This window comes from Homo sapiens, chromosome 10, assembly GCF_000001405.40.
Source record: "Homo sapiens chromosome 10, GRCh38.p14 Primary Assembly".
Classification (NCBI taxonomy): Eukaryota; Metazoa; Chordata; class Mammalia; order Primates; family Hominidae; genus Homo; species Homo sapiens.
Genome location: NC_000010.11, coordinates 7387593 through 7413388, shown reverse-complemented (window position 1 = coordinate 7413388; position 25796 = coordinate 7387593). Strand labels below are relative to the sequence as shown.

Here is a 25796-nt window from a genome sequence, read left to right as displayed (position 1 = left end):
CCTGGAGAGAGCGCGGTGGCTGGTTGCAGCTCACGTCTCCACGACTCCTGCAGAAGGAAATTACGTTCTCCCCTTCCCCCCCGCACCCCTACCCCTACCCCAAGCCCCCGGGAAGCCCTGCGCTGGCACCAGGGCAAGCGCCTGTCGGCTCCCGGGAGCTAAGCGAGGCCGCGCGGTCTGGGACGCAAATGGGAGGGAGCAGCCGCTGTCGCCCTGCGGGGCCAGGGCCACTGGGTAGGCGCAGCGCGGGCCAAGAGTGGGAGGCTCAGGGCAGGGGATCCGCACTCGGGGCCATTCCTGCCGCGGCGCGCCCTGCGCTTCAGCAGTGCACAGGGTGGGGACCCCTCGAGGACAGTGGTGCGCCGACGGGTCTCTCGGCCCCTCCCTTTCCACAGGCCCCGCTGTGTGGTGAAGGAGCCAGAAGAGGCGACTTGGGTGTTGAGACCCGGGGCCAAACCGTGGAGAGTGTCTGGAGCCCACACTCCAGATTTCTGGACGCCGCAGTCAGTCCAGCAGGTTCTACCTGGAGCCGCCTCGGGGCTCAACCGGGAGGCAGCGGGGTGCAGGCGAGAGGGTTAATGCGCCCGGTTCGGTTGGTTTGAGGAGTCTCTGCTTTCAGCGACCCACAGGGCAGAGAGCCCAGGGCTCCGGCTTGATGTCCCCAACAGCTGGGGACTGGAGAGCTGGAGGGGTCGCAGACTCAGGCTAGAGTTTAAAGTGCGCCGCGCGGCGAGTCGCTGGACTCTTCTGGGTCTCACGTGGCTCCTGTGTCACATGGAGTGACAGGCCGGCGGAAGGCGCTTTAGTCGTCGCCCAGCGTTCTCCAAGGTGTAAGGAGGCAGGATCTTCCCATACTGGCGGCGCAGGGGGCCTCACGGCTGCGGACGCCCGCCCTGGATCTCTCAGCTCGGCAGATCCTTTGGGTGGAGAGGCGCTCTCCAGGGTCGCGGCGAAGGAGAGCGGCTTCTCGGCACGTCCCTCCGTATTTCTTCTAGATCAGCTCCGGCCCCACCGTCCAGGAGAGGGCCCGCCTGAGGACCTCTGTCTGTGCCGCGCGTGGTCAGCCCCGGTCCCCTCACTCCATGGCTGGCCCCTAGCCCTTCAGAGCGGACACCTCTCCTTAGGGATGCAGGGCGAGGAAGGGCGGGTGGAGCTGCGAACCCACGGGGACCTGGAGGACCTCTTGGCCCCCTGGAGAGGGGTACTATGAGAGGGATTCATGGGACACAGATTTGGGGGACTGGGTAATTTTACCCCCTTTGGCAACCATAAAAACCCTGAGCAAACGTGTCCATTCGCTATTTCGCAGAAATATACAATGCAGGCCCACACAGGCATCTCTGCGAGGCCCCCTAGTTAAGGGCGCAGCGTTCTTCGGAAGCTCTTGGTCTTGCTACCAGGGCGTCACCGGCTTTTCCGCACTGGGGACATTTCGTTTGGGCTCTGCGCAGCCGTTGCACCTAAGGCCCTGGGAGCTCCGCGTTCCTCCCCAGGCGCCCGGGACAAAGTGCCCGAGGGCTCCGCAGACGTCCAGCCCTGCCCGGGGCTCACGGCCGCCGGGGCTCTCCAACGGACCGTCGAGGGCCACGTTTTGCTGGGGTGTGAGCGACGATTCTTTTCCCGCCCTATGAGGCCCGCCACTAGCTAGGTGCCCCATGAGACGCCGTGGCGAGCACGGCTACCTGGCAGCTCGCCCGGGCAGCCCCAACTTAATTTCCTGCCCCTCGGGGCACCTTTCCCTCGAATAGCTCTCCTCGGCCCCTCCAGCCCTGCCCAAGGGGCCTGGAAATGTTCGCAGCTTCAAGAAAGGCTCTATTTAAGCACAGGATGGGGTGGGGCGGGCGGGGCCAAGATTGCCCTGGGGATTGAATTTATCTCCGCTCCCAGCGATCCCCGGCGGATAAAGCGCAAGTTTGTGCACACGGTCGACTGAGCCATTGGAAACCCAGCTCACGAACCGCAGCCAGGGAAACGGGAGTTTGCCCAGTTGTCCTTGCGGAGGGGTGTGCGGAAACGCCCGCGATGGGAACTTTCTGCAGATCATGTATGGAGGGAGCTCACAAAAAGGAGGAAGGGGAGCGCGGTGGGGAGGAGGCCGCGTGGGCGTGGAAGGTCCCAGGGTCCTGGGGGTGCCCGCCTGCTTAGGCGCAGGGAATGGCGCGGAGCTGGCTGGGGAAGGAGCCGATCACGTCCCGCAGGCTAATTGGCTTAAGAAATTTTGCAAGCGCTGGAAAAGGTCGTTGAAGGAGTTCGCTGCACGCGCACGCACACACATACACACACACACAAAATCTTAAAAAAAAAAAAAAAAAAAAAAAAAAAAGAGCGCCGAGCATGCGCACAGAGAGGATGCCATATTGGAATGAGCTGTAGTGGGAGCCGGAGGACCGGAGCGGGCGCGCGAGGGAGGCGGCGGGCGGGGAGCGAGCGGGCAAGGGCGGGCGAGCGAGCAAGCGAGCGAGGCCGGTGCCCTCCCGGGCGGCGACCGGGGCCTGGGTCCACGCCGAGGGCAGGACGAACTTCACCAGGTAGGACGCCGCGCCGGCTGCTGTCCCCGGCGCCCAGGCTGGCCGGAGAGCAGCCCTTCGGCCCGCAGGTTGAGTGCGCTGGTCAGGGGCTTTTTCCAGCCTAGGAAAAAAAAGGAAAAAAAAAAAAAGGAAGGAAGCCTGAGGGAGCTGGGGTTGGAGGTGGCGGGTGGGGGAAGGCTGGGGAGGGTGCAGGGGAGCGAAAGAGAAGGGCAGGAGAAGAAAGCGACTGCACTTGAGCGAAGCTTCAAACTCCTCTGTGCGCTCCAGGTTGTCATTTTTGCTTCCCGGGTCCCCTTCGCCTGCGTCTCCGGGCTCGGAAAAGCCGAGCCGTGCGGGAGTCCGTCCGGAGTTGCAAAGTGTCCTCCTTCCCCGGGCGCAGCCTGTCCCCTCCCGCCGCCCACCTTCCTCGTTTCTGCACTCATTTTAGCGACGCAGCCGCCGCTGCTACCTACCCCGCGCTCCCGCGTCTCCTCCGCGCTGGGGTCTCCCCTTTCTTTTGGTTTGGGTGGGAGAAAAAGATGGTGAGGACGGGGAATCGGAGACCGGCATGGGGGTAAAAATCGTGCAGACATTCGGAATCGCTCCCTTGGAAACATTTGCCTGAGCAACTGAAATAAAATTGGCAGTAGTAGTTTTGGAGCGTGCTCCAGCGAGGATGGTCTTTTTGTTCATTATTTTCTCTTTAAAGTAATATCCTGTCACTTAGGGGCTTTCCGGTTGTCTCCTCTTATTCGACCCCCTTTCAAAATTGCTGACTTGAGCTGGTTCTGGAGTTTATTTTTTAATATGCGTGCGTGGGTATGTGTATGTGTGTGTATGTTTTGCAGAAATCCGCCAAAATGCAACTGTAGGAACTGCGAGATGTATTTATTGATTTTGACCAGGGGCGGTGGGAAGGGGCTGGAGGGAGCTGGGGGATCCTGGAGGGTGGGAAGTGGCTGATTCTCGGTGGCCGGACACTCATCCAGAGCCTGATCCGTACTCGTGTTTTCTTGGAAGCGCCACAACTGCGGGGAAGGAGTCTTTAGAAACCGTGCCAGTTTCAATATGGCGGGCTAAGGTGGCTTTTAAAAACTGAAAATAAAGGTTTTGAGGTGGGAAAAAACCCAGCTGAAGTTTCCACCCCTTAGTTTCGACTCTCTTTGGCTACCCCAGGAAGCGCTTTAGCGAATTAAGTGGGGAAAAAAAGAAGGAATGGGCTGTCCGGTTTTTTTTTTCCGTGGTTAGAGTCTGTGTGTCAAGTCCATTGCTAGGGGGGAAAGGGATGGAGAAGTGCCCCTGGCCCGGACCAGGGCACCGAAACGCAACTGTCGTGTGTGCCTGTGGATTAGTGTGCAGGCCTGCGTGTGCGCAGTTTTTTTGGGTGTGTGTGTCAAAGAGAACCACCCCGAATGTGTGTGTGCGTCTTGGAACCAGACCCTGCCATGATTTGACGTGACAAACTGCGGACACGTGGTGTAAAGTACATGAGGGCAGAGGGAGTGATTTATTTTGTCTTTCTAGGAGACGAGCTAGCTCTCGCCTTGTGTGTGCTGGATCCTGCGCGGGTAGATCCCCGAGTAGGTGGGGCGAGGAGGTGCTTATTAAAAGGACTAACTGTCCCGGGTATTGGGTGCAATCGGGCTGCAGACGCCAGCCGGATTTCGTGTGTGCAGGGGGCGCGCTGCACTTAATAGTGGGCTCCTGCTTTCCTCCACGCCGCTCTGGGGTGGGAGGTGGGGGACCGGGACCGAAGCTTGGAGAAGACCAAAGTGGTGGTGGTGGTGGTGGGGTGGGGCAGAAGGGCGGGAGCGCGCGGCTCTGGGAGACAAGCACGTAGGGTCGAGGCGAGGGGTTGCCTTCCTTACTTTTGGGTTTCGCGCTCTAGGGAAGGTGGGGGATGGGGACAGCGTTTGGGGAAGAAATTGTCCCTTGCTCGGCTTAGGAACCCTCTCGGCGCATCGGAGAGGGGCATCTTCTTGTCTTGGCGGGCATGGAGGCCGGGCAGTCGCCGGGGGATGTGAGTGGGCGGCGAAGTGCGGGGGAAAGGTCGGCGTTCCAGGGCGGGGAGGATCTGGGAGTGGAGTTCGGAGACAAAATCGGGGTCAGGCAGAGGAGCCAGAGGGAAAGCCAGCAAACGCGAGCTCGGGTGAGAGCCACCGGAATGCGGGAACGCAGCTTAGCCGGGAACAGGGTTCCCGACAGGGGTCGCCCGTGGCCAGGACGCGGCCGCTGAACAGAGGTCGCGCGGCGGTTCCTGCCCGAGGGACCTCGTGGGCGGGGGCCACACGGAGGCCGCGCACGGTCCCCGGGGCTGGCGGGGGCAGGTGGGAGGACCTCCTCCGGGCCCGCGAACCTGATCTGGCAGCGGCCAGGTGCCTGGAAGCGTTTTTAAATGATAGGGTTACAAAGACATGTTGGCCAGGTTTGTAGTTAGCGCAGCAACGTGGTTTGCAGGAGCGCAGAACGAGGCTAGACAGGGTCACTCGGACGCCGTGCTGTCAGTGGGTGGGGGCCGGGAGCAAGCGGCACTGGCTTGGAGACCCCGCGGCAGGTGACCCCTCCCACCTGGGCAGCGAGGCTGAACGATGGCGACACGCCGGCCAGGACGCGTCCGTGGCTCCTCCAGCCTGCGTTTGGGCGCGCCCTCCCGGGGCCGGCTTTCCCATGGGCCCCGCGAGGTGGGGAGCAGCCTAAAATGGCTCTGTGCTGCGAAGCTGCAGTTTCAGCCGCGAACCCCTCCCCTTGTCCTCCTGACGTCGCCGCTGACAAGCGCAATTTGCTCCAAGGCCCCGAAACCCGCGATTTTGCACGAGGCCGTGCCGTGGAAGCGGATGTACAGTTGATTACAAAGAACATTCCACAGGGTTCTCGAAGGGCCCAAGTTTTTCCTTCTGGTGGGGAGGAGGGAGGAGCCGAGACTGGGCAGGAGCCCGGCCGACCACCGCTCTGGCACCTAGGGGCTCGGGGCGCACCAGTAGCTGGGGCTGGGGACCTGGATGCGCGAAAAGCCGAGGGAGTTCCCGGGGACGCGGATGGGGACCATTCGGGGCAATAGCCACGGACACCGGTGCTCGTGGTTGATGGCGTTTGTGGTGTCCGAGAATCCCGGGACGACGCTGGAAAGCCTGGGAGACCGTTCTCAAACTTCTGGAGACCAGCTCGCAGTTTCGCTTTCGGAATTTTCAGGATCTTTGGGCCTTTAAAGTTGGGTGGGATTCCAAGAAGGCAAGGCGAGGCTCGTGGCCCTGACGATCGGCCGCCCGACTTCTCGCTCACCCCAGCCTTCTCTACCTTGTCTCCCTGAACCTTGCCGAACCGAGCCGGGTTTGGGGTTCCGGGGCCCCGCGCACCAACCCCAGCCGCGTCCTGAGGGCTCCCGCAGCACAGCCGCGGCTGATCCGAGGCCATTGGTGGGAAACCAATTTAGACGAGGCCGACCCCTCTTGGATCTGGCTCGGTTGCCGCTGCCCACCACTCTCCATCCCCCCTCCACTCTTGCACCGTAGAGAAGGGAACTGGGAGACCTACTAGCGTGTCTACACCAAGGGAAAGAACCCATGTTCCAGCAGGTCGGAGAAAAGGAGAAAACAGGCTTAAATGTGGCCTCGTTTCCTGGGGAGGCTGTTGGGGGTGGGGAGGGAGTTGAGCGGGTAAGTGGGGTGGGGGAGGGGAGAGGCGTTGTTGCTCAGCAGGAATTGTTCCCTAGGCCCGCCCTGGAGATAGGAGGTCTCCTGCTTTTTCCCTACTAAGCATTAAATTTGCACACACTCTGCTTTCTCCCTTCCATAAATAAATACCGTCTCAGATCTTATCTTTGCTCTTGCTGGGACCAAGCTGCCTGCCTGCAAGAGAGTGGGAGACACCCACGCACTTCTCCACTTCCCTCCCCCCCCGCCAACCCTCTAGGTCCCCACCAAAGAGTTTACTGCTTGCAGGACCCATTCTTGGGCCGGTGCAGAACACTGCCCCGAGCCGGGGGTCTCGCAGCCCCCATCCTGGAATAGAGAGTGGTCATCCACTCTGTTCTGATGTGTGTTGCTGTAGAAGTGCCGGTGGAGGCCTGCTGAGGTGGGAACTGTTTCCCATTTCCCATTGGGATACATCCATCCTGAACCTCAAACAGCAGGTCCTGCTGGAGATGCGTTTCAGTAATGATGGAAGTCATACATCGCAGAGTTTTTCCTCTTCCTGCGTTCTTGCAGACATTATAGACTATTTTTTTTAACATTGGTTGTTATAAATAACTGGCTTCACGATTCTTGACTTAAAAGTCAAGACTTTTAAAAAGCCAGAAAAGGTTCCTGACTCTTCCCTGTTTCGTTTTCATCATAAAGCTTTCCTGGGAGTACTAAACACTTATCCATTTTTCCATTGCTGCCCACTCTAGCTAAGGTGGCTTTTTTTTTTTTTTTTAACCACTGCCCCCAAAGGACTCCCACATTTGAGAAGAAATAGTGAGCGATGGAAGCATTGCTTTGAGCAGTAAGAAAATGAGGTTCTATGTAATTGATACAGGATACTTTTGGGATCTAAGAAGTCCGTAAAGGAAATTTACTCTCCCCAGGCCCTACACTTATGCCTAAAAATTTTTGTCAGATTATCAGAGTTTTCTTTTTCTTTTTCTTTTTTTAAATAATTTGAACAAAAATAGTTCACTGTGGGATTTGAATGACCTACAGTTCTAGTATACTAGGGTTGGACATTTCTCTCTTTATATTTTATTACTCTGTACTTTTGAGGTTCATGGGTGCAGTGGTCAGAAGGAAATTTTACTCTGCCCTAAAGTAAGAAGTCATAAAGGTTTTTGTACCAAAATGGCATTGGGACCTGTAATTCAGGATGCATTTTGTGGTTTTTCTAACCATTCTTATATCTATGTTGCCTCAGCAGCAACTTATTGCCCCCATCATACAAATTAAAAAAAAAAAAAAGTTGGGAAATTATGCGTCACAACAAACCAGGAAGTCAATGTGTGTATTCAGTTTGGTGATCCAGGATGTGTTAACACTAGCTGCTAAGGAAGATTCCTGACAGAGAGAGCGGGGGTCGGGGGGGGAATCGGGCCTAGTGTGTAGGTGGACATGGTTCTGTTCAGCTGTGGGATCTGGGACAAGTGAGTCATCTTTCTCAGCCTCAACCTCCTTATCTACAAAATAAAGGTGCTAGCCTGGAATGTCACTCAATGATCACTGTGCTTCTATCTGGGAAAAATACATCTGTGATTCAGTACATCTATGCAGATAGGCCCAAGAGATTCATCTTTCATACTCATGTTCCCCTAAAGGATAATGAAAACCTGACTGGCCTTAGGTGACATCCATGTGCAACCGTGCTTGTGAAGGCAGCAGCTGAGCTGTGGGTCCCTGCTGCAGAGTAAAGTGCTATTGTTAAGTGAGGTAAGCTCCACATGGGGTCGTGTTTTCATCTGTGCTCTGGAAAAGGCGAAGGGTAGAGAAGATGGAGGCTTATACATATGTGGCCTTCCCACATAACCCCATAAAGGTATGGACTGGGTTAGAGCAGTGTGCCTTTGAATACAAGCCATGAGGAAACACCTGATGTCATCTTGTTCTAATAATTTCCAGGCTCAAAGAGACTCTTCCAGATAGCACAGTGTACCCCACCATTCCAGATGGGAGGGTGCTTGGACCTCATGGGTCCATGTTTATGATATGGATGATGATTGCAGCCTTCTGGTAGCCAGCAAGTGAGTGTGAGCATCCACTCTGAAGTTCAAGGTTTTCCGTTCCTAGGGTTCAGGTTTGGCCGCTGGGCAGGTCTTCCTCTCTTTGTTAGACTAAAAATTTCTGGGACAATTCCTAAGAAAAATACTCTCGTTGGCTAAAACAAGTGTTGGCTCTATGTTTAAGTCAAGTGTAAATAAGATGTTTACAAGACTGTAAGACTGTATTGTAAGGAAGGGAAGATAGTCTGCTTAGAACTTTTAGTATAAGAAAGAATGTGTCACATGATTCATGTAATGTTTCCAAGTAAAATCCTTCAGGATTGGTTTTGCATGATCAGTTCATCACTGTGCTGATGAGAAGATGCCACCTTAACACTTCCCATCTGGTTGGCCTGTAGTAAATTTTAAAAAGCAAAAGCGGTAATATGTCAATATGCACTGATGGTTAGGGTCTCTCAGGTTATTGATGAGATGACACGTCTAGGCTTCCATTCATGTGATGAGATAGATGTCTTTGACATTGATTAAAGAAAGAATCCATTGCGTTTTTCTGTTTCATTCCTTTCTCATTTTCTGAAAAGCAAAAATGACACATTTTGATAGATCCAGGGCTTCCTAAGCATTTGGTGACTTCTGCAAAGTAGGACAAATAATGTTAGCAACTGTGATTAGACAGGAAGTGTATGGAGGTGTGGGACATGGGGGAGAAGCGGCAGGTTTTCATCTTGTGAGTTTTTCCCTGTAGTTTTATTGGCCAAGAAAAAGATGTCTTATAAACAGATATTAAGGTATGCCTTCCCTGCTTTCTGCCAAACTTGGCAAGTTGTTTTCTTTCCCCTCCATTTCAATCAACACTACTATATGAACTGAATACTTTAAGGTATGATACAAGAGTGTGGAATTCCAACTCTAGGTTCCTACAAAGTCTTGTTTTAGGTATAACTTAAATGAGCACCTGCAAGGAATGGGACATTTGGATTGTAGGTCTAGAGATTTAGCAGTGAAAGGATTGTGAATTAATCTGATATGAAATTACCTGTTTACTCCAAATACTCTTTATTTTAAAAATATTTTTAGATGTTTAAGAAGCTTTTATGGATACATACTAATCATACATATGTGTGGGGTGCATGTGATATTTCGATACAAGCATACAGTGTGGAATGATCAAATCAGGGTCGTTGGGATCCATTACCTCAAGCATGTATCATTTCTTTGTGTTAGGAGCATTCCAATCCAGTCCTTCAAATACTTTTAAAAATAAAAAAAAGCTGCTTATTTAAATATCTGCTGTTGGCCAGTGACTCTTCTTGTTGCTTCATATTTATATTTCATCTATTTTAGGAGAGTTTTGTCATCCTCCTTTTACAGAGGAAACAGGCATTAGAGAGCTTGAGTTACTTGCCCAGAGCACCAGCCAGCAGGAGAGAGAGCTAGATTTGAAATCCTAGTCTTATACATTGTCTTAAGATTGTAACCTCTTGATTGCTTACTACTGTATGTGAGATACTTGTGTAGCACTTTATTTATTTTTATTTATTTACTTATTTTGAGACAGACTTTGGCTCTGTCATCCAGGCTGGAGTGCAGTGCTGCGATCTCGGCTCATTGCGACCTCTGGCTCCTGGGTTCAAGCAATTCTCCCCCCTCAGCCTCCCAAGTAGCTGGAACTACAGGCGCACACCACCACACCCAGCTAATTTTCTGTTTTTAGTGGAGATGGGGTTTCACCATGTTGGCCAGGCTGGTGTTGAACTCCTGACCTCAAGTGATCCTCCCGCCTCAGCCTCCCAAAGTGCTGGAATTCCAGGTGTGAGCAACCATGCCTGGTCTTGCCTAGCACTTTAAACCATTCACTTACTTAATTTTTGTAGGTGGGGGCTGTTATATTTATTTTATTGATAAGGAGTTTGATTGAGTCTTTGGAGAGGTTATACAGGGTCATTCTAATAGGGTTTGTGTTTAGTAGTTAATTTTGAAATGGGGTAAGACTAGATTGTTCTCTTTTTGTTTTTCGTTCAGATGGCTGTGGGAGAGCAGAGCTTTTCAATGAAGCTTACATTACTGTTTTTAAATGTATAAGTGCAGATGCTCAGTTAGGACACAATGTTGTTTACTGTCGTATGAACTGACCATTTAAGATTTGAAAAGTGTTGAATTTCTGAAATTTCATCTTGATTAGAAAATAATTGGTTTCAATATAAATCAGTTTTCTCCCCCTGAATGTAGGTAAGAATATGTTTTAAATAAAAGCCTTTGGGAGAAATGAAGAAGACACTATCGAAAGCTGGGGGAAGAGAGCTAGAATTTTTCCTTCTAAACAGTGTTGGCCACTGATGAGGACATTTTAGAGTGAACTTTAGTTTTTGGTCTTTTATTGGATTATTTCCTTTTCATGTAGAAAACTGAAGACTGACACCACAGCTGCTCTTTTTGCGAGTCCCAGGTACACACAGTTTTGTGCCTCCTCAGTCTTGCCAGCTGCTTGTAGACCCCTTCCGTGGTACTGTTGGTCTGGGACTATGAAGGTGGAGAATCAAAGGCTCTTGCTCTATATTGGTGGAAAATAACTCTACTTCTTTTAATGGACCAGGGAAAAAGTCAAATTTTGCCAAATTGAAGTGGCTGAATTTTCACAGTTGGTATTATTTTTAGAAAGTGCACTAAATTTGGGGTATTATAAATAAACCATAGTTTGATGGTTGGAGTAAACCAAGTCCTGGGAATTCAGAAACCCCATTTCTGGTTTAGGGCTTTTGGTGTGACCCCGGCTAATCCCTTTCATCTTCACCCTCCTCTATATTTGATTTTTCCTGCGATGGATGGCAGAATAGAATATTTGCTAGGCACAAGTATAGTTTAAAAACCTGCTTTAAAAGGCGGAAGACATGTTTACTTAAGCTTTTGGCACTGGGACAAATATACTATCTTTTCATTAGAGAAAAATCTCTCTGATTCTTTTACAAGGTACACACTTCACAACTATAGAGGAAGCATTTGTATCTGGAGTCATTTTTATTTTTTCCTATCTCCAGATTGGAAAGGACATTTCTTTCCAGGTGGGCTTTTTTTTTTTTTTTAATGTTAAATACTCAGTAGTCACCATCTTGCCTGTGTACCAAACAGAACTACTCCCTGGCAATGCAAGAGCTCTCCGTCTCCTGTCTGCATTATATCTGTCACTGGATATAAATGGTACCAATTGGTACATGGCTTAGGTTGCAGTTCTTCAATTAAAGACAGACATTCGTAGGAGACCGTTCTAAATAGCCTGCAGTTGGTATTCTGTTGGAATGAGATGCATGGTTGTGCGGAACACGTGGAGAAATGTCCCGTGGAATGGCGCACTGTGGAGTTAGCCACAGAAAAAGTCAAGGGCATAGAACGAAAAGCACACTGCCAAAATTTAGCTTGGATGATGGTAGTGTTTGCATTTGTACCTGCAGGAAGAGACTGAGTTCACCTTCCTAAGCACAGAGAAGTGGGAAAGAGGAGTCTTTGGAAGGAGGTTTTGGGGAGGAAGATCAGGGTTGATCCTGAGCCCATCACCCTGTGGATGTCTGAACCAGAGGGCAGAGTTCATGAATAGGCGTGAGGACATCAGAGGGCAACGTTTACTTTCTGGGCAGCCTCCTTCTTTTGTCAATTACTTTCATCGTTGGTTTTAATTCCCTAAGTTAAACTTTATCTGCCTGTGGAGATACTTTAATCATAATTGTTCTTTCATAGTACATATTGTATTTATAAACAAACAGGAGGTGTTAAGATCACTCCTCCAGCTCCGTGTGCTGGAAGCTGTGGGTTGAATCCTGTTGTGTCCTTTGACCTGGATGTATTTGCTCAGAGAAGGTCAACACGAATGTTATGGTTGAGAGGTGTAGTCTGTATCCTACATGTTTGGTCTTTCCTCATCTCACTTGCAGCCTCAGCCTTAATTTTCCCATTGACCTAATGAAAAGGAGCCTTTTAAGGTCCCAAGTGCGTAAAAAGGTGCGTGCTTGAGAGACTTACCACTCGGGCTCTTTTTGGAGGGGATGCTTTTTATTTTTATTTTTTTTTTATGACGGAGTCTCACTCTGTTGGCCAGGCTGGAGTGCAGTGGCACGATCTCGGCTCGTTGCAATCTCCATTTCCCGGGCTCAAGCAATTCTCCTGCCTCAGCCTCCCAAGTAGCTGGGATTACAGGCATGTGCCACCATGCCTGGCTAATTTTTGTATTTTTAGTAGAGACGGGGTTTCACCATGTTGACCAGGCTGGTCTTGAACTCCTGACCTCAGGTAATCCGCCCGCCTCGGCTTCCTGAAGTGCTGGGATTACAGGCGCGAACCACCGCGCCTGGCCGGGGGGGATGCTTTTTGAGATGTTTGCTCTGTGGCAGGTGAGATCCTTGAGACTTCCCAAGGACAGGGCTTTTCTAACTGAGTGGAGGAGGCAGCAGAGGAGGCCCCAAGCCAGGCAGGGCTCTTCTGAGAAGCATTCTCATGTCCCTGTGCTAATTAAAAGGAAAAGAAGTTCGGCCAAATGCAGCTGCCAGGGTTTGCTGTTGAAGCTGACAGCTTTCAAGAGCCTGGGAGGCCTGACGGCCTGGAGGAGCTAATCCCTGCCAAGCCTGTGCCCCCTGCCTTTAGGTGAGGAGATGCCAACCGCTGGATGCCATCAACTTCATAGAAGCCGACAGCTGTGGAGTAATTTGGCGTTTTTTTCTCTTCTCGCCTTCTCCCTAATCTACCCTCTGTGGGACAATTATTGAAAGATAGCCAACCCTGGAATGAGAGATAACCATCACAGCCCTCCACCCTGCTGCTTGGAGAAGGAGATGGCCTTGTACAGAAACAGACAGTGTTTACGGTGAAGCTTGGGATTTGGTCCTTGTCATTCATTGCCTTTAAGACTGACTGAACTGTGCTGTGCGCTTCCCAGAGAGCTGGAAAGTGCAGAACATCCTCTTTCCCTCTTCCTCCCTCTACCGCTGTGAACTTCAGTGGCCTTGTACAAGTGATGAGATTAGGTCTTTGAATAGCCAGCTGGGCACTCAGGGCCACGTGTCAACTGGCCACTACATATTTTTCAGGTTCTCCTGCCCATTTCCCAGTGCAGGCTCTGGGACCAGAGAGGCTGAGCTCACCCTGCCTGCCCCTTAGCCTGGAGGAGCCTCCCATTCCTCCGGCTTGTCAAACATCACAGTTTTCTCCAGACCTGGCTCAGATCCACCTTTTTGATGAAAGCTTTTGTGATCTGGCTCAGACCATGGTGACTATTCCCTTCTTTCAGTCTCTGTTCCATCCTAGTGGATGCTCTATTGTTTCCTCCTACCACATCCTCTTGGTTTTAACAAGGAAGGTGAGTGGAAACCTACCTTCCCTGACATGCTTGAGTGGGAGATGAGAGTGAGGAAGCTTCTAGAACAGTCCCTTCTTTTTGCAGCTGAGGACAGTGTTGCTTGGGGCACTTAAAGGCCAGGAGCACATTCTGGTGCCTGATAAGACGTTAGTTACCATATGGACGCAGGCCTCCTGCCGAGTCCTGCACATTTTCCAAGTTCTTTACTGACCATAGTAAGTGAGGGTGTTTTTATTTACTTTATATAATGATTTTCAGGAAGACTCTAGTAAACTTCCTTCATGCACTTAAATGATATAATTTATAAAATTTGGTGGATAGGCTGGGCGCAGTGGCTCACGCCTGTAATCCCAGCACTTTGGGAGGCTGAGGCAGGCAGATCACTTGAGGTCAGGAGTTCAAGACTAGCCTGGCCAACATGGTGAAACCCCGTCTCTACTAAAAATAAAAAATTAGCTGGGCATAGTGGTGGGCGCCTGTAATCCCAGGTACTTGGGAGGCTGAGGCAGGAGAATCGCTTGAACCCAGGAGGCAGAGGTTGCAGTGAACCAAGATCACGCCACTGCACTCCAGCCTGGGTGACAGAGCGAGACTCCGTCTCAAAAAAAAAACAAAACAAAACCCCAAAAAACTTGGTGGATAGGAGATATCTATGCACTCCAGTTGTAGGAATCTCCAGCTACAATGCAGGAGTGCAGGGCTCCACAGGCGAGGGTTTCCCGCTGGCTGATATCTTCACAGTGTTGGGACTCTTCATCTCTTCGTTATTGGTATTTTGGTTGACAGTGGGAGAATAACTTCTTTTGGTATTTTGGACATTGTGGCACCTCTCAAGCATCATTGCTGTGCGTTTGTTTGGCTTGAAGTGATCAATTCTTAAAATCCACCCAGAAAATTATGCCCTAATTAGGCATTATCCATGCATGTCTGGCTTACAGAAGCCTTCCTTGTAAGTTTCTTTACTTTTTGAGTCTCATGGCGGTATGGACAACACATGATCTACTTAAAATGACTTATCTGCATTTGTATGTAATGCATTACACAAATATTTTGGGGAATATAAGGTTTACTTAGCTCTTTTTACAAACCTGGGGGGATGCTCTAATTTATTCCTTTTAATATTTATAAGGGACAGAGAAATCCTGTATGTAGGGTTTGTCCAATAGGTTTGAACCCAGTGTGACTACATCTCTGCTAATTCTAAAACTGCTGCATTTTAAATAAGGCCCCATTTACACCATGTACCCACAAAAATAAAAAAAAAGGCCCTTTGACCAAACTCAGTCTTCTGCTTAGCTAAGGATGGGAATGACCTTTGTGGCTTGGGTGTAAATATCTGGTACAAGAAGTACCTTGATGCAAAGACCTGTTGTGTTGTAGTATTTAATTGGGTATTGTAAAACTTCATCCTTCTTTATAGTAAATAAATAATTTGTTGGCAAAGAGTAAATAAACCGACTTTCAAGATGGTGCACTTTGTTTTCTCCTCCTGAGCAACTAACTTGGAAGCCTCTTGTTTTTCTCATTTTGCACATGCCCATTTTTGAACAACTGATTTGTTCACCTTATGCTCTTGGGCAATATACATTGTTTGATTGGGAGGTTAAGAGGTGACAGTGAAAACCATGAATTAGAAGACACTGAATGTTATTGTGTGAATAGGAGGTATTTACTCCTAGAGTGCCTATTATCCCCAGTAGATCTTATTTCCTAGTATTGAGGCATGAATCTGATTTAAGAAATTAGCATTTCTTATGCCAGGGCAGCAATTTGTGTCAGATTTCAATCTATTTTGAGTGGAAACCAATGTAAGCCTGGTTGAAAAATGGTGAGTAAATTGCTGTCCTAATCAAGGTAAATCAAGCTCTGAGCATATGGCGGATGGCAAGGTGAACTCCTGCCCCGAACAATCAGCTCGTCTCACTTGATGATGGGATGAGGCAGGGCTTGTCTCTTCTTAGTTGGCTGGTGAGAGTGGGGGAGAGATGTACTTAGTCAGATATTATTAGCAGAGTGACCCGGCTGACGGGGCGAGTATAAATAGAAGAAAGCTCGCGTTGATAATAGTGCTTGGCACTTAACACGGCGCTTCATCTTCAAAGCCATTTACAGATGCGGTTCTTCCTGGTACTGCTGCGATTCCGGGCTGTTGCTTGTATGCTGCTTCTTAGGAACATGGAAACAGTGATTTTCAGAGACCAAGATTCGGCTCAAAATTTGGTGGTACCTCTTTTCAGAATCCTTTGAGATTTTTCCATTTTGATTGAAATATTTTGAAAGGTCTCAGCATAGATGCCTGTGCTCATTTTGAAATTCCTGGAGTGTGAAATGAGACAGCTTTCTCTTTGATTTAGACGTGCTAGATTTCCAAGGGTGGCTACAGCATGTCTGGAATTTCACAAGCTTTTCGCTTAGACCTTCATATTTTATTTTGATTGGGAGAATATTATCTTTTCTGAGTCATTAAAAAAAAAAACAAAAAAACAACAACAAACAACCGCAAGCCCTTTCCCTTTGCAGAGTGGCAAGCCTGAAATTGAGTATGTTATTACTTAGCACAAATGCCATTTTCTTGGACCTCTTGAAGGCAGATCAGTTTGGAAGGTCTGAGTCATTGGTGGCTTTCACTGTAGTGAGTCCTTCCTCAGCAGTGAGCCTGGGGGGACCTGATGAATGGAGATGAGAATGATTTCTAATGCTTATGTAGCTTTGTTATCACAGTTTAAAGTTTCACTTTTTCACTTGAGTTTGGATGATTCCAATTGCACAATGATAGTTTATTTTATTTTTTATTTTTATTATACTTTAAGTTCTAGGGTACATGTGCACAACGTGCAGGTTTGTTACATATGTATACATGTGCCATGTTGGTGTGCTGCACCCATTAACTCGTCATTTACATTAGGTATATCTCCTAATGCTATCCCTCCCCCCTCCCCCCATCCCCCCACCCCACGACAGGCCCCAGTGTGTGATGTTCCCCACCCTGTGTCCAAGTGTTCTCATTGTTCAGTTCCCACCTATGAGTGAGAACATGCGGTGTTTGGTTTTCTGCCTTTGCGATAGTTTGCTCAGAATGATGCTTCCCAGCTTCATCCATGTCCCTACAAAGGACATGAACTCATCCTTTTTTATGACTGCATAGGATTCCATGGTGTATATGCACAATGATAGTTTTACATTTCTTGTGTCTAATAAGACAAAAACAAAGTGGAAAATGCTATGTTAGAATTAGCATAAGGGAAGGAGAGAATTTATGAACTCTTATAACTGGAAATCTGAAGTTGGAACTGGACTTATCTTTATTGCTTTGAATTTAAGAGGGAGATCTTTCTTCTACCCAAATTTGCCTAATATTGGGGAAGAAACTGATTGTGTCTGTTTGGGATGCCGGATTCTAAATCAGTGACAGTGGGCGGGAAACTGTAGGCATTTATGTACTGGAAAATGAGGAGTCCTTTTCTGTGTAATTTGACCAACTAACAGAAAAGTCTTAAATTCACTAACGTTGGGGTTTCCTCCCTGGATGACCCGGCAGATCTCTATACATAACAACCTCCACTGTGTGCTCAGAGATACCAGTCAGCCTTTGTTTTGTCTTGTTTGAGACAGTCTCGCTCTGTCGCCCAGGCTGTAGCGCAGTGGCGCAATCTTGGCTCACTGCAACCTCCATCTCCTGGGTTCAAGCGATTCTCCCTTGAGAATCCTGTAATTCCAGCCTCCCTAGTAGCTGGAATTACAGGTGCCCACCACCACACCTGGTTAATTTTTGTACTTTTAGTAGAGGCAGGGTTTCACCATGTTGGCCAGGCTGGTCTCGAACTCCTAACTTCAGCTGATCCTCCTGCCTTAGCCTCCCAAAGTGCTGGGATTACACGTGTGAGCCACCTCACCTGGCCCAGTCAGCCTTTTAATTTCCTACTCTGCAACATCAGCAAACATCTACGAATTACTAGACTACTAAGGTAAGCAGTAATATAAAAGTAGACACCAGAACTAACAGAGAGAAACATAACGTCTATGAAGGAGAGAAGAAAATCTGAAAAACATTCATAGCCTTAGGGATATAATAGAAAATTTTACATCCACATAACAAAAACAGGATAGGATGAAAATGGAGACTGTTACAAGCATTAAAAAAAAAAAAAAAGAGCTTTTAGAAATTAAAATGTAAAACTCAATGGAAGGGTTAGAGAGAAAGTTGAGGAAATATCCCAGATGGTGGATTAAACAAAATAAAGTGATAGAAGGTAAAGGGGAAAATTAAGGAAATTGAAGAAGTCTAGCATTTGAATGACTCTTAGAATGAAAGAGAAAACGGAGATGAGGAAATTAGCAATAATTCAAGAAAATATCCTAGAGCTGAAGAACCTGAATTTCAATCTTGAAAGAAGTCACTCACCACTAGGGTGCCACCAGGCACATTATTGTGAGATTTCAGAAATGTCAAAAAGTCCCCTAATTAGGACAGCATCAGACACTTCAGCGATGGAAGCCAGACGGCCATGGAGGGAAGCCCTCAAGATTCTGAGGGAGGACGTTTTTCCAACGTAGAATTCTTTTTTTTTCCTCCAAGGTGGAATCTTGCTCTGTCACCCAGGCTGCAGTGCAGTGGCTGCTCACTGCAGCCTCCACCTCCTGAGTAGCTGGGATTACAGGTGCGCGCCACCACGCTGGGCTAGCTTTTGTATGTTTAGTAGAGACGAGGTTTCATTATGTTGGCCAGACTGGTCTCGAACTCCTGACCTCAGGTAATCCACCCACCTTGGCTTCCCAGAGTGCTGGGATTACAGACATGAGCCACTGTGCCCGGCCCAACGTAGCATTCTCTACCCACCTACACTAGTGGTGAAATAGAATAGGTTAAAGACACACCACCCATCCAGAGTTTCCACATAAATCCTTTCTTAGGAATCTGTTGGAGGGTGTGTTTCTTCATCAGGAGCCAGACACTAAGAGAGAAGCAGACAAGAGGCCCTCTGTGTAACAGAGGGAGGGGAGGTGAGACTGCAGGCTAACATTGGTGTCCCAGGCAGAGAAGCAGTTCGTGTAGATTATAGCAGAAAGGAAGGCCCCAGTAGACATTGCTTCAAGATGAAATGAAAGCAGTACCTATATACCTCAATTTATGGACAGGTGCTTTAGACAGTTTATGAAAAATTTGGATTTGAATTGGTGATAAATACATAGAAAATGAAGGCCTTGGAATAAGCAAGACCATTATTAATGACAGGGGAGAGTTGTGTGCACTGAGAGTAGTCACTCCTGGCGTGTTTGCAGAGACCTAAGGACGCAGTGGGAGCTGCCAGGGGGGTGAGCGTGTCGGGGAGTTGTTGGGGGGTGGGGGTCATGTGACCAGTAGGCATCACCTAATAATGACAGATATGGAAGAACTAGGAAGTGGCGTGTTCCCCAGAGAGTGGAGAGGAATGCCAGAACAGTCGGCTGAGAGAGCAAAAGTGGTCCCCAAGCAGGAGATGGGGACGCGGGAGAAGGGCAGGAGATGACTGGGTTTGATTTTTAGGGGTGGGCATCGACGCACAGGCCTTATAGAGAATATTTGGCTTTCAAAATTATATGCAGATGTAACTCTGATATAAAAAATCATCTCACTGGGCGTGCTGGTGGGTGGATTGCTTGAGCCCACGAATTCGAGACCAGCCTGGGCAACATGGTGAAACCCCGTCTCTACCAGACATGGTGGCGCGCCTGTAATCCCAGCTACTTGAGAGGCTGAGTTAGGAGGATCTCTTGAACCCGGGAGGCGGAGGCAGTGAGCCGAGATCGAAGCACTGCACTCCAGCCTGGGCGACAGAGTGAGACCCTTTCTCAAATTAAAGAAAAAAAAAATCACAATACTTCTAGGATACAGTTGTTAGGATTTGGGATTGGCTGTGTATCAGCGACCCAAAGTTAGAGTGGCATCAACAAGAGAGTGGCTTATTTTCCTCTGATGTAGTGGCCTGGAGCTGGCAGAGCAGCCTTATAGTCTCAGGACCAAGTCCCTGTATCTTCTGTTTTGCTGTTCATGGGGACAATCAGCTGGGTGATCCTAGGTCTAGGGGTCAGAGGGCAAAGGCATGCCCCTTCCACCGTGTAGTTGGACACGTGAATCCCGTACACCTCCCATTAGCAGAACTTAGTGACTTGAATTCATCTAACCACAAGGAAAGCTGGGCAATGTTGTTTTGGTCAGCCAGTTACTCCTTACTGTAGACAAAGTAGAAGACAGATTCAGGGGTGGTGGAGTTAGCAGCCTCTGCCACAGTGATTTCTACCTGTGTGCACTTTCAGGTATGTTCTGCTCACAGTAGAATGCCTGGGACGACAAAGTCATTAGAGACTGCAAAAAATCACTGCTGTCCCTTTGCAAACCTACCTTAAATGACCCCAATTTAATTATTGTTTAACTAGAGGGGTATGTGAACAGTATGCAGAGTTTCTGTTCCTTCGACTTTTCTTATTGAATGAAAGTTTGGTGAACTGAAACAGCCTTGTATGTGTAAGAATATAATATATGAGGCCGGGCATGGTGACTCATGTCTGTAATCCCAGCACTTTGGGAGGCCAAGACGGGTGGATCACCTGAGGTCAGGAGTTTGAGACCAGCCTGACCAACATGGCAAAATGCCGTCTCTACGAAAAATACAAACATTAGCCAGGTGTGGTTACATGCACGTGTAATCCCAGCTACTCGGGAGGCTGAGGCAGGAGAATCACTTGAACTGGGAGGCGGAGGTTGAGTGAGCTGAGATCACACCACTGCATTCCAGCCTGGGCGACGGAGCAAGACTCTTGTCTCAAAAAAAAAAAAATTATATATATATATATATATATATATATATATATATATATATATATATATATAATCTATCCACATACTTGTATATATAGGATAGACAGGATATAAACATCTAATGAGATAGGAGTGGATTGTTTAATTGTGAGGAGGATGAACTGAGAGGTGTAACTGATGAAATATTTGAGTGTAAATTCCCTGTATGTTAAAACAGTGAATGTAAAACTTGAAATCCCAAAAAAGTTAGACTTCTGGTATCTTAGGGTAGGGGAAGACCTTTTACAAGTTTTAGAAGAAATAAAGCAAATTGATAGATCTGACTAAGTTGAAAAAGAAAAACATTCTCTCTTGTCAAAAGAAACCACGAAAAGGTAGACTGGGAAAAATATTTGCAATAGTTTTGTGAGATAAAATAATCTAGATCTCTTAAAAATCCATCACAGATACCAACGTAGTTTAAATATGGGAAGGAAGTGAAAGAGGCATCAACAGGTGAATTACAAATTACAGTGGCAGGATACTATTTTTTTTTTTCCTTTGAGACGGAGTCTCGCTCTTTGTCCAGGCTGGAGTGCAGTGGTGCAATCTCAGCTCACTGCAACCTCTGCCTCCTGGGTTCAAGCGATTCTCCTGCCTCAGCCTCCTGAGTAGCTGGGATTACAGGTGTGTGCCACCACTCCTGGCTAATTTTTGCATTTTTAGTAGAGACTGAGTTTCTGCATGTTGCCCAGGCTGGTCTTGAACTCCTGAGCTCAAGTGATCCGCCCACCTCGGCCTCCCAAAGTGTTGGGATTACAGGCGTGAGCCACCGCACCCAGGCAGGATACTATTTTTTGAATGTCAAATAAAGAAAAGGTATAAAGGGTTTAGATGTTTTCTCCTGCCCTGCTAGTAAACCAGCTTAGCGGACTTGAGAGCATGTTTTCAGGGGGGTCATGAGCCTCAACTGTGTCCCCATATTTTTGACCCTATAATTTAACTTCTGGGATTCTACATTAAGGAGACATCAGAGATGTAGGATTTCTGACTGAGAGTCGTGACTAGAGTGCTACTTACCATGGTGAAAAAATAATATAAACAGCTTTAATGGGCGGCAGCAGAGGCATGGTAAATACATGACCTTATTCATTTTATAATAAAAATTATCCAACCATTTCAAGTCATGTTTTCAGAGAATCTTAATGACGCGAGAAATTCCTTCTGTGTAATGCAAAATGAAAAAATGGATTGGAATTCCGAATTCTCTGTGAACTAAACAACAACAACAAAATCCACAGAGAAACTATCAGGAGGAGATACTATAGAAACATAAAATTGATTATCACTGAGTATTAGAATTACAAGTGATTTTAATTTCTTTCTTTATAATTTTACTTTTCAAGATTTCTACCAAGAGCATGTCTATCTCTTATAGGAAGGAAAAAACTAAATGTTGTTGAAAAAGTCAAAGTGGGACACATCGTTTGCAAAGTGAATCAATTTTGCAGTCACCTGGGTGGACGTAGGGGGAAGTCTTCCAGTGGCACGGCCATTGCCCTCCAGAGTCATGTGAGCTTTCACTCTGCTACTGTTTTTTTTTTTTTTTTTGAGACAGAGTCTCGCTCTGTTGCCCAGGCTGGAGTGCAGTAGCGCTATCTTGGCTCACCACAACCTCCACCTCCTGGGTTCAAGCGATTCTCCTGCCTCAGCCTCCCGAGTAGCTGGGATTATACGCACGTGCCACCATGCCCGGCTAATTTTTCTATTCTTAATAGAGACAGGGTTTCACCATGTTGGTCAGGCTGGTCTCAAACTCCTGACCTCGTGATCCACCCGCCTTGGGCTTCCAAAGTGCTGGGATTACAGGCGTGAGCCACCACGCCCAGCCACTGTGCTACTCTTTCAGTGGCTTTCTTGTTGGTCTTTGTATTATTACTCTTCAGTTTTATTGATTGATTGATTGATTGACTGAGTGAGTCGGAGTCTCACTCTGTTGCCCAGGCTGGAGTGCAATGGTGCGATCTCAGCTCACTGCAACCTTAGCCTCTCAGGTTCAAGTGATTCTCCTGCCTCAGCCTCTCAAGTAGCTGGGATGACAGACACGTGCCACCAAGCCCTGCTAATTTTTGTATTTTTAGTGGAGATGGGGTTTCACCATGTTGGTCAGGCTAGTCTCGAACTCCTGACCTCAGGTGATCCTTCTGCTTCAGCTTCCCAAAGTGCTGGGATTACCGGCATGAGCCAACGCACCAGGCCTTGAGTTCTATTTAAAATGATTGATTTGATGCATTTAAATTTTACAGTCTCAGATTACTGTTCTGTAGTGTCTAGTTAGAGGCAAATGGGTAATGAGGAGTCATAAGACTTGAGCAAACTTTTCCCCTTTTAATAAGTGTCTATAAGCCACTGACATTTAACTGATTTATTAATAGCCATATTCATGGACTTTTTTTTCTTTATAGAAAAACTTGGTACATGACTACATTTTTGAGGCGGAATGATTTTCCTGAATTTATAAATGAATGAAAAAAAGCAAATAGTCTTTGTATGACACACGTAATAGTTTCTAAGATGTTTCTCCTTTGACATTTTCCATTGATATAAAAATGCAGCTGATTTAATAAAAACCTATGCTGTGTTAGGAAGTTTGCCGTGAATCATTTGTGGAATATTAGGGGGAAACTGTTAAGTCTCCTTTTGAAGTTTCTTAGATTTAAAAATTCATGAGTTTTAACTAGCTTGACATTATTACATTAAAACTTTTAAGACAGCCAAGAATTGATGGTTGTTTAGGACATGTTCCAAGCCCTCAAATACGGCTCTCCAGTGCAGTGGCTTGCTGGGCTGCCCACCTTCTACCCACATGTGCCTAGTTCAATTCAAGGTCATTAAAATTAAAATTCAGGTCCTCAACAGTACTAGATACGCTTCCAGTGCACTGTAGCCAACGTGTGGCTAGTGGTTACTGTACTGGACCAAGCAGATATAGATCAGGCAGTGCTGGTCTAGATGCATTCAACATAGATAATGAGCCCCCAGTTATGTTTGGCTAGTTGAAGAGTAATATCTAATGCATGTTCTTTCTCACTCGTGTTCTTCCTAACAAGGCTTTGCTTAGCCTGTGCTAGCATTACTCTATTCTTTGACTATACCTCAAGTGAAAGGAGAAGGAAAGATAGGGTTGAGAGGGGAGGATGCTTATTGTATTAAATTTGCTTCAAACATAAAGGGATAATCTGAATGCAGAAAATGTACAATGAATCATAATAACACCTGGATTGATAAAATTTTAGATTTGAAAGGGGTGATTGCATCTCATCAAGCTTTCTGATTGAACTGATGAGAAATTCAAGGAGTAGAGAGGTTAAGTAATTTGTTTATGTCACACAGCCACATAGCTTGTTATTCCCTTATTCTGCAAGCTCTCTGTTCTTTTCACTGGTCCAAGACAACTCTTGTAAGAAGTTCCAGTACTAGAATTCTGTTGTCCAACAGAGACAAAAGGAGCCTATTATAGTAGAGTTAACTTTGTACAAAACCACAAAGTGTATTGTATAAAACAGGAAGTTACCTTTTATAAGCCCAGTCTTCTGAATGTTTTTTGTATTGTCTTTGGAAAAAACTGTTACTTTAATTAATAGACACTTTTACTTTGTTCTTGAAATTACGTATAGCTTAAGAAACAAAAGGAAATACGCTTTCTTTTAATAATAGCCTTTTTGGGGGGTTAGGGTGTTGTAGTTAGGAAAAGGCTTTTTAAAAATATACTGTTTCTATTTTGCAAAGCTTATGGGTGGAGCAGTTGTCACCACCAAGATTTGCCCCTCTAACCCCCCAAAAACATCCCATTGAATGTAAATAGAAATTCCTGTGAAGTGGGTTATTATTCTCATATTTGATAGGTTTCCCCAAGAATTATCTGTTTCCACAGACACTGCATAGGTTCCATTAGTTGCTGTGGAAAGTGAAGTAATTTATTCTAGGAACTGTGACTGTGTGCTGTGAAAAGATTGCATTTTGTTAACATAATTTCTACGGCGTTCTGTTGATGGGGCCTCTCAAATACTTCTTGGACCTGTTCCCTTCATTTCTTCTCCACTGTCTTAGTTCACACCCTTGCCTGCACTTCCATGTTTTTAGTTTGTTTCCATTCATCCATCTCGCCTATGGCTCCCTGAGTGCTTTTTCTGAAACAAACCTGATCATTTCACTTCCTGGAACACCCTGCCACATCCACTCCATCTGCAGAGTGACACGCAGGGCTCGGGCCCTTACTGTAGCAAACATTCTCTTCTCACCTGGGCTCAGCCTGCCTCTCTGTTCTCACCCCAAGTCTTTGTTCAGATATCACTTCCTGAGGTCTTGCCTGACTGTCATGTAAATAATTATCATCCTTCTGGTGGGGTGTGGTGGCTCATGTCTATAATCCTAGCACTTTGGGAGCCAGAGGCGGACAGATCACTTGAGGCCAGGAGTTTGAGACCAGCCTGGCCAACATGGTGAAATTCCGTCTCTACTAAAATACAAAAAAAAAAAAAAAAAAAAAAAATTAGCTGGGTATGGTCAGGTGCACCTGTAATCCCAGCTACTCGGGAGACTGAGGCAGGAGAATTGCTTGAACCTGGGAGGTGGAGGTTGCAGTGAGCCAAGATTGGGCCATTGCACTCTAGCCTGGGTGAACAAGAGCAAATACTCCATCTCAATCATCATCATCATCATCATCATCATCATCATCATCATCATCATCCTTCTTTGTTTGCCTGATCTTTTCTGCTTCATTTTTCCCTATAGCACTTATCACCATCTAACAGGCTATATCACCTACTAATTAAAAAAAAAAAAAACTCCATTGGCTCTTTCTCCCAATTAGGATGAGATCTCTACCAGGGCAGGAATTTTTTGTTTTGTTTTGTTACAGATGCCTTCGCATGCCTGGAACAGTGCCTGACATGGAATGGGGGATCAGTACATATTTGGGGATGAATGGGCGTGATGCCGCTTGCTCCACGTTCCTGTCTCCCACCCTCTCCCTTGAGGCACCTTAGACTTTTTCCCAAGGGTCTGCCATGCTGTTTGCTGCTGGTACCTCCACGTTTAATGGCTTTTCTACCTTTTTTTTTTTTTTTTGAAACAGAGTTGCTCTGTCGTCCAGGCTGGAGTGCAGTGGGAGCCATCTCAACTCACTGCAACCTCTGCCTCCCGGGTTCAAGCAATTCTTCTGCCTCAGCCTCCTGAGTAGCTGGGATTACAGGTGCACACGACCATACCCAGCTAATTGGTTTTTTTTTTTTTTTTTCCTATTTTTAATAGAGACAGGGTTTCGCCATGTTGGCCAGGCTGGTCTCAAACTCCTGGCCTCAAGTGATCTGCCCGCTTCAGCCTCCCAAAGTGCTGGGATTACAGACGTGAGCCACCATGCCCATCCTCCTTTGGTTTCCTCTTATCCTCGGCTCCTCTGGGCATTTCCTCTTGAGCCTCTCC

The 25796-nt window shown here is 47.4% G+C and overlaps 1 protein-coding gene across 7 annotated transcripts in view, besides 6 other annotated features; it reads left to right on the top strand.

Annotated features, from left to right (window-relative positions):
• Positions 266-1185: an enhancer, noted in NCBI's record as "H3K4me1 hESC enhancer chr10:7454166-7455085 (GRCh37/hg19 assembly coordinates)". NCBI's record gives its function as "activates a minimal SCP1, AML or CMV promoter by ChIP-STARR-seq in naive H9 embryonic stem cells {active_cell/tissue: H9 hESC(naive)}" and the evidence as "EXISTENCE:reporter gene assay evidence [ECO:0000049][PMID:30033119]".
• Positions 1186-2106: an enhancer, noted in NCBI's record as "H3K4me1 hESC enhancer chr10:7453245-7454165 (GRCh37/hg19 assembly coordinates)". NCBI's record gives its function as "activates a minimal SCP1, AML or CMV promoter by ChIP-STARR-seq in naive H9 embryonic stem cells {active_cell/tissue: H9 hESC(naive)}" and the evidence as "EXISTENCE:reporter gene assay evidence [ECO:0000049][PMID:30033119]".
• The window catches only part of SFMBT2 (Scm like with four mbt domains 2), a 252867-nt gene continuing 228969 nt past the window's right edge, over positions 1899-25796 (top strand). For 2 of the 7 annotated variants that reach the window (NM_001387890.1, NM_001387889.1), the window contains exon 1: positions 2355-2528. The gene's annotated coding sequence lies outside the window, so the exon portion shown is untranslated. Of the gene's footprint in view, positions 2045-2354; positions 2529-4047; positions 4088-4507; positions 4528-4618; positions 4657-7642; positions 7907-25796 lie in introns of those variants that run through there. The other 5 variants (NM_001029880.3, NM_001018039.1, XM_047425568.1 and 2 more) reach the window with 5 other exon arrangements.
• Positions 2342-2481: a silencer, noted in NCBI's record as "silent region_2112". NCBI's record gives its function as "represses an Ori minimal core promoter by ATAC-STARR-seq in GM12878 lymphoblastoid cells {active_cell/tissue: GM12878}" and the evidence as "EXISTENCE:reporter gene assay evidence [ECO:0000049][PMID:35858748]".
• Positions 4458-4537: an enhancer, noted in NCBI's record as "active region_2975". NCBI's record gives its function as "activates an Ori minimal core promoter by ATAC-STARR-seq in GM12878 lymphoblastoid cells {active_cell/tissue: GM12878}" and the evidence as "EXISTENCE:reporter gene assay evidence [ECO:0000049][PMID:35858748]".
• Positions 4585-5480: an enhancer, noted in NCBI's record as "H3K4me1 hESC enhancer chr10:7449871-7450766 (GRCh37/hg19 assembly coordinates)". NCBI's record gives its function as "activates a minimal SCP1, AML or CMV promoter by ChIP-STARR-seq in naive H9 embryonic stem cells {active_cell/tissue: H9 hESC(naive)}" and the evidence as "EXISTENCE:reporter gene assay evidence [ECO:0000049][PMID:30033119]".
• Positions 4698-5037: a silencer, noted in NCBI's record as "silent region_2111". NCBI's record gives its function as "represses an Ori minimal core promoter by ATAC-STARR-seq in GM12878 lymphoblastoid cells {active_cell/tissue: GM12878}" and the evidence as "EXISTENCE:reporter gene assay evidence [ECO:0000049][PMID:35858748]".